Below are 8,663 nucleotides of genomic sequence, written 5' to 3' on the forward strand. Positions count from 1 at the left end.
TCAACATATGATTGCCCAGATAAATGGTGGAAGCTCCTTTGCAGAAGGGCTAGGAGAACTGTTGCCATTTACAATTGTCATGTTGCAGGTTCCTTCCTCTTGGAGACCCAGCCTCTACTTCAGTGAATGGGTTTTGAGTCTGAAAACAGGACAAGGGATTGTGCCTTTTTATTCAGTTGGCTGCCCTCAGTGTCCTGATCCTTCATCTTATTTGTTTATATTTTTGGATTGTACAGATTGAACAATGTTCTTTTTGGCACCTTATCTACTTTGCTCCAAGGGATGCATGTTTTATGAATGAACCACCTCCATAACTCTGTGTCCACCTAGCTTGTCACTAATTATTATAATTACCTAATTCACCTCTGGTGAATAAGCAGTGCCACCTGGCCTTTATTATTTTGAGATTATATCATTCCCGTTACTAGCAATGAGCCCAGTTTTGTAACTTCTTCTTGTATCATCAGTCATGGCCTATGGATAAGTGCCACCACCGTGCTTCTCAGTGACACTGGTGCCCCTCTTACCAGTACATATTTTATTTCTTTGGTAAATGGAGTAATGTTTGGGTCTTTCCACAGACAATAGTTACTTGGTGGGTTTTCTGACTTTATCTCCTCTCGTATCCTCACTTCTCAGAGCCACATGCCCCTTCTGCTGTCTGACATGGGAGTTCTGACAAATCTACTTTACTAAGTGTGGATCATCACTTTCTATAAACTTCTGAGAGCTATACTTGCAGCATATTAATACCATGTCCAAGGGCACTGCCAGAATATTAACTTCTATATCCTAAACAAAGCATACCAATATTGATGATCTTTTCCATATGTTCTGGCCCCACCCCCATTGATTTTGTATTTATTCTCATTGCTACTGACAATACATGTAGGCTAGGTTCCACAGTTCCTTCGGGATATAGTCTCTTTTCTCCTTTAGCAAGTCTGGCTTTTCCCTGGATGAGAAATGTTGTGACTTAATCCTAGTTATTGACTTTATAGCCGGGGAAAGTGGAGAGATATCTTGGAGTAGGGACATGTGTTTTCTTGCACAAGGGAGGCCTCCACATTGTCTTTGAGCAAGGCAGAAGTATTTGTCCTTGAAAGAGAAGAGTGCATGCCTCTCCAGTCTTGGAAACTCAGAGGAATCTGGAGATTTCAGATTTGTAATACATCAACCTTGATGACTCCAATTCTATATCTTAGATGCTCATTTTTTTTGCCATTCATGGTCTTGACCTTGACATAGCAGATTTACCTATGTTGAGAATTTAACTTTCTTTGGAATTTTGCTAAGTACTGGGCCTGTTTCTTAGCTTTCTCTGCCGTCCAGTTTCAGGAGATAAAATTCTCTTTAGTAAAGGAACCAAGATGGCTGACTAAACACAGCCAGGAAGAAGCTCTCCCATTAAGTGACTGGGACATCTCAGGAAGACTGGCACACTCCGAGCAGGTCCTCAGAGGGAAGGCATTGAGAAGAGATGGAGGGAGGATGCAGATGCTGGGCTGAAGGAGGAGGAGCTGGGAATCCTGCACAAGGCTACTGAGCACTGGGACTTGTTCCTGACCCCCAGCAACTCCTGGGGAAGGAATGAGTTGAACAGGCGAGGAGCAACCCACTCTTGCCATGGACCTCCAGAATCCTGGCAGCAGGAGATCCCATGACTCCTGTGGACACTTGAGCTGGCAGAGAGAGCTGCTTAGAGAGGTGGTAGGGGCAGAACTCTAGCCAGTAAGAAGCCCAGACAGTTGCCACTCATAGGGCAAAGTGGGAATGTCTGCAATAGAGTGAGGCCAGGGATGCCCATCATCCAAGGCTCACCATGCTCCTCTAGGACACTTTAGCCTAGGATGACTGTCAGACCTGGACAGAGTAGGGTAGACTGGCTCATGAGATGGGGCCAGTCCAATCTGAGCACCTCACTGTCTGCTGACCTCTCCTGGGGCCCCAACCTGGCCATGCCCGCTTGCAGCGTGGCCTCAGATGCCCAGCGGGGTGCTTCTTGGGGACTCTTCTCATAGCTCCTTTGCCAGAAGACCTTGCCTGACCATTAGAGAGCTCCAGCATAGTGACACCTGCCGACATGCACCAGCCCACCCACACCCTCCCCCGACTGCAGCTTCCCCTTGCTGCTTTGCCAACATGCGATTGCCCATGGTTACCACTTACTGCTTTGCTGGTGCATGGGCAGGCCTTGCCTCTCCTCCCTGGCTGGTGTATGTGCACACCCCATCACATCACTGCTGCTGGTGGTGGTACATCACACCAGCCACCCTACCCACTGATGTGCAGGCACGTGGTTATGCTGCTACCACAAGCGCAAATGTGTGCACTGATGCTGGCAACCCTGCACCCCCACGCACCACCACTGCCACTGGTGCAAATGTGTACATGGATGTCAGCAGCTCTGCCCCCACCAGCACCCTGCCCTTGCTACAACTGTTGATGGTGCATGGGTGAATATAAATGCTGGGAACCCCATTAGCATGCTGCTCCCACCACATGCTATTGCTGCCAGCATGAATGCACATAGGCATGCCACAGCCCCACTCCTGCTGGTACCCTTCCCCAGCCAATGTGGATGCACCCCACTGCACTGCTGTGGTTGCTAGCCGGTACAAGTGAGCACAGATCCTGCTGCCACCACCCTGATGAAGCGCTTTAGCCAGCACCCTTCATTGGAGTGTTGTGGCCAGGGGACCATGAACACTTCATCCCCTGCCCCCTGGTGCAGCAGTTTCCTAAACTTGGGGGGCCAGAGAACAAAGCTGGGGGCCTGGTGTCACCCTCCCAGGGATAGAGCACACAGCCCAGGAATGGTGAGCTGAGCCTTAGGCCTCCTAAAATCTTCCAGAAATGAAGGCACCCTAATGAACCCATCTTATACCACAAACAAATAGCCAAGGATATAAAATAAGATAAAAGCAAAAAATCCCACCCAAAGGGCAATAACTTCAACTATTGAAGGAACACCAGCCCACAAATATGAGAAAGAACCAGTTCAAGAACTCTGGCAACTCAGAAAGCCAGAGTGTCTTCTTACCTTCAAACAACCGCACTAGCTCCTCATCAATTGTTCTTAACCAGGCTGAAATGACTGAAATGACAGAAATTGAATTCAGAATATGGAAAAGATAAAAGATCATTGAGCTTCAGAAGAAAGTTGAAAACCAATCCAAGGAATCTAAGAAATACAACAAAATGATACAGAAGATGAAGGATGAAATGGTCATTTTAAGAAAGAACCAAACTGATCTGATAAAGCTGATAAACTCACTTCAAGAATTTCATAATACAATTGCAAGTATTAAAAGCAGAATCTACTGAGGAAAGAATCTCAGAACTTGAAAACTACTTCTCTGAAATAACTCAAAGATAAAAAAGCAAAAAGAAGAATAAGCAAAACTTCAGAGAAATATGGGATTATGTAAAGAGATCAAATCAACGACTCCTTAGTGTCCCTGAAAGACAGGAAGAGAGAGAAATTAACTTGGAAAATATATTTGATGATATTTTCTCTGAAAATTTCCCCAATCTTGCTAGAGAGACCAACATTTAAATTCATGAAATGCAGAGAACCCCGGCATGATACTATACAAGGTGATCATCCCCAAGACACATAATCATCAGATTCTCTAAGGTCTAAATGAAAGAAAAAAAAAATGTTACAGGCAGCTAGAGAAAAGCAGCAGGTCACCTACAAAGGGAAACCCATCAGGCTAACAGTGAACTTTTCAGCAGAAACCCTACAAGCCAGAAGAGATTGGTGGCCTATATTTGGCATTCTTGAGAAATTCCAACCAAGAATTTCATATGCAGCAAACTAAGCTTCATAAGCAAAGGAGAAATAAGATTCTTTTCAGACAAGCAAATGCTAAGAAAATTTGTTGCCACCAGACCTGTTTTGCAAGAGGCCCTCAGGGCAGTACTAAATAACAAAAAGACCATTACTGGCCACCATGGAAACACACTTAAGAACATAGAACATAAACACTAAAATAAATTAATAAATAAAACCAAACAACAACAACAACAAAAACACACAATCAAGTCAGTATTATAACCAGCTGACAACAAGATGACAGCATCAAATCTGTACATATCAATATTAATCTTGAATGTAAATGGGCTAAATGCCCCAATTAAAAGACACGGAGAGGAAAGTTTGATAAGGAAGCAAGAACCAATTTTGTGTTGTTTTCAAGAGACTCATCTAACATGCAATAACACCCAGAGCCTCAAAGTAAAGGAATGGAGAGTAATCTAAGCAAATAAAAAAACAGAAAAAAGCAGGGATTGCTATTCTAATTTCAGACAAAACAGACATTTAAACAACAATCAAAAGAGACAAAAAAGGCATTACATAATGATAAAGGGTTTAGTTCAACAAGAAGACCTAACTATTCAAAATACACATGCACCAAACACAGGAGCACCTAGATTAATAAAGCAAATCCTCAGAGACCTAGCTAAGTGTAAGAGACACAGATAACTACACAATAATAGCGGGAGAATTTAACACCCCACTGACAGTATTAGACAGATCACTGAGGCAGAAAACCAAGATATTTGTAAACTGAACTTGATGCTTGACCAAATGGACCTAATAGACATCTACAGAACTCTCCACCCAAAACAATGGAATGTACATTCTTCTCATCTATCTGTACATGGTACTTACTCTACAACTGACCACACAATCAGACATAAAGCAAGCCTCAGCAAATAGAAATCATACCAACCACACTCTCAGACCACAGTGCAATGAAAATAAAAATTAATACTAAGAAGATTGCTCAAAACCTTACAATTACATAGAAATTACACAACTTGTTCCTGAATAAGTTTTGGAAAAACAATGAAATTAAGGCAGAGATAAAGAAATTCTTTGAAAATAATGAGAGCAAGATACAACATATCAGAATTTATGGGACTCAGCTAAAGCACTGTTGAAAGTTTATAACACGTAAACACTCCCGTCAAAAAGTTAGAAAGATTTTATGTAAACAACCTAACATCACACCTAAAGGAATTAGAAAAACGAGAGCAAACCAACCCCAAAGCTAGCAGAAGACAGGAAATAACCAAAATCAGAATTGAACTGAAGGAAATAGAGACACGAAAACTCAAAAAAAAAAAAAAAAAGATTTTAGATTGCTAGCTAGACTAAAAAGAAAAAGATCCCCCCCCCCCCCACCAAATGCAATCAGAAATGACAAAGGGGACATTACCGTTGACCCCACAGAAGTACAAAAACCCTCAGAGACTATTATGAACACCTCTATGCACACAAACTACAAAACCTCAAAGAAATGGATCAATTCTTGGAAAAGTACAATGTCCAATGATTGAACCAGGAAGAAACTGAATCTCTGAACAGATTAATACTGAGTTCCAAAATTGAATCAGTAATTAAAAGCCTACCATCCAAAAAAATTCCAGGCCCAGGCATATTCACAGCTGAATTCTACCAGACATGTAAAGAAGAGCTGGTACCATTCCTACTGAAACTATTCTGAAAAATTGAGGAGGAGGGACTCATTCCTAACTCATTGTATGAAACCAGCATCATTCTGATACAAAAACCTGGCAGAGACACAACCAAAAAACAAACAAACAAACAAACACACAATAAAAAAAAAAACTTCAGGCAAATATCCTTGATGAATATCAATGCAAAAGTTCTCAAGAAAAATACTAGCAAACTGAATCCAGAAGCATATAAAAAACCTTATCCAGGAAAATCAAGTAGGCTTTATCCCTGGGTTGCAAGGTTGGTTCAACATGTAAATCAATAAATGTCATTCATCACATAAACAGAACTAAAAATGAAAACAAATTATCATCTCAGTAGATGCAGAAAAGACTTGATAAAATTCAACACCTCTTCATGTTAAAAACTCTCAAACTAGGCATGGAAGGAGTATACCTCAAAATAAGAGCCATCCATCACAAACCCACAGCCAACATCATACTGGACAAACAAAAGCTGGAAACACTCTCCTTAATCAGAACAAGAAAAGGATGTCCACTCTCACCATGCCTATTCAACATAGTACTGGAAGTCCTAGTCAGAGCAATCAGGCCAGAGAAAGAAATAAAAGGCATCCAAATAGGAAGAGAAAAATCAAACTATCTTTGTTTACAGATGATCTGATTCTACACCTAGAAAACCCTATAGTCTCTGCCCAAAAGCCCCTTGATCTGTTAAACAACTTCAGTAAAGTTTCAGGATGCAAAATCAATGTACGAAAATCAGCAGCATTCCCATACACCAACCACATCCAAGCTGAGAGCCAAATCAAGAATGCAACCCCATTCACAAAAGCCACAAAAAGAATAAAATACCTAGGAATACAGCTAACCAGAGAATGAAAGATCTCTGCAATGATAGTTACAAAACACTGCTGAAAGAAATCAGATGACACAAATGGAAAAACATTCCATGCTCATAGATAGGAAGAATCAATATTGTCAAAATAGCCACACTGCTCAAAGCAATCTAAAGATTCAGTGCTATTCCTATCAAACTACCAATGACATTCTTCACAGAATTAGAAAAAAACTATTTTAAAATTAATATGGAACCAAAAAAGAGCCTGAATAGCCAAAGCAATCCTAAGCAAAAAGAACAAAGCTGGAGACATCACACTACCCAACATGAAATGATACTACAAGGCTGCAGTAACCAAAATAGCATGGTACTGGTACAAAAATAGACACACAGAACAATGGAATAGAATAGAAAGCCCAGAAATAGAGGTACACACCTTCAAACATCTGATCTTTGACAAAGTCTACAGAAACAAGCAATGGAGAAGGACTCTGTATTCAATAAATGGTACTGGGGAAACTGGCTAGCCATATGCAGAAGATTGAAACTGGACTCCTTTCTTGTATACCATATACAAAAATCGACTTGAGATTTGTTAAAGACTTAATGTAAAATCTAAAACTAAAAATCCTAGAAGAAAACTTAGGAAATACCATTCTGGACACAGATCCTGGCAAAGATTTCATGATGAAGAGATGAAGATGGTAAAAATAATTACAACAAAAACAAAAATTGACAAGTGGGACCTAACAAACCAAAGTACTTCTGCACAGCAAAACCAAAACAAAAACAAACAAAACCTATCAACAGAATAAACAGACAACCTACGGAATGGGAGAAAATATTTGGAAACTACACATTCAACAAAGGTTAAAATCCAGAATCTATAAGAAACTTAAACAAATTTGCAAGCAAAAAACAACCCTGTTGAAAAGTAGACAAAGACATGAACAGACACTTTTCAAAAGAAGACATACATGCGGTCAACAAGCATGTGAAAAAACCCTCAACATCACTAATCATTAGAAAAATGCAAATCAAAACCACAATGAGATACTGTCACATACCAGTGAGAATGGCTGTTATTAAAAAGTGAAAAAATAACAGATGCTGGTGAGGTTGTAGAGAAAAGGGAATGCTTATACACTGCTGGTGGGAAAGTAAATTATTAGTAGTTCACTTATTGTAGAAAGCAGTTAAGCCTTTCTCAAAGAGCTTAAAAGGGTATATACCCAGTAATGGATATAGTACACAGGCATATATACACATATGCACAATGGAATACTATACAGCCATAAAACAGAATGAGATCATGTCCTTTGTAGCAATATAGATGGATTTGGAGGCCATTATCCAAAGTGAACTAATGTGGGAACAGAAAAGGAAATACCACATGTTCTCAAGTATAAGTGGGAGCTGGAGGCCATTATCGTAAGTGAACTCATGCAGGAACAGAAAACCAAATACTACATGTTCTCATTTATAAGTGGGAGCTAAATATTGAGTACACATGGACACAGAGATGGGAACAACAGACACCAGGGCCTACCTGAGGGTGAAAAATGGGAGGAGGGTGATGATAGAAAAAAAAATTTACCTGTCAGGTACTGTGCTTATTACCTGGGTGATGAAATCTGTATACCAAATAATCTGTATACCAAACCTCCTTGACAGCCAATTTACCTATATAACAAACTTGCACATGTACCCATAAAGATTTTCTTTATGTGCGCCAAGGAGACTCTGGCTTTCACGCTTAGTTTATTTTTCCCACTAAACCACAAATTTGACAAAACTGAGGTATAATTCATATGTCACAAACCCACCCTTTATAGTATGCAATTCTGTGGTTTAGTATATTCACAAAGTTGTATAACCATCATGACTATTTCCAAAATATTTTCATTACCCCAGAAAGAAATCCTGAGCCCATTAGCAATCAGTAATTCTCTCCTCCTCCCAGTCTCTGGAAACCACTAATCTAGTTTTGTCTCTATGTGTTTGCCTATTCTAGACATTCCATATACATGTATTCATAAAATACGTGGTCTTTTATGTTTGGCTTCTTTCACTGAGGATAATGATTTCAAGCTTCATCCATGAACCATGTATTAGTGTGTCCAGAGTTGGTTCCTTCTGGTGGGTTCTTGGTCTCGCTGACTTCAAGAATGAAGCTGCAGACCTTTGCGGTGATTGTCACAGCTCTTAAAGGTGGCTTGAATCCAAAGAATGAGCAGCAGTAGGATTTATTGTGAAGAGCGAAAGAACAAAGCTTCCACAGTGTGGAAGGGGACCCAAGCAGGTTGCCGCTGCTGGCTGGGGTGGCCAG

The 8,663-nt window shown here is 40.5% G+C and overlaps 1 annotated feature.

Moving 5' to 3' along the window:
- Window positions 1,847-2,347: an enhancer, noted in NCBI's record as "H3K4me1 hESC enhancer chr12:19853628-19854128 (GRCh37/hg19 assembly coordinates)". NCBI's record gives its function as "activates a minimal SCP1, AML or CMV promoter by ChIP-STARR-seq in primed H9 embryonic stem cells {active_cell/tissue: H9 hESC(primed)}" and the evidence as "EXISTENCE:reporter gene assay evidence [ECO:0000049][PMID:30033119]".

This window comes from Homo sapiens, chromosome 12 (genome assembly GCF_000001405.40).
Source record: "Homo sapiens chromosome 12, GRCh38.p14 Primary Assembly".
Classification (NCBI taxonomy): domain Eukaryota; kingdom Metazoa; phylum Chordata; class Mammalia; order Primates; family Hominidae; genus Homo; species Homo sapiens.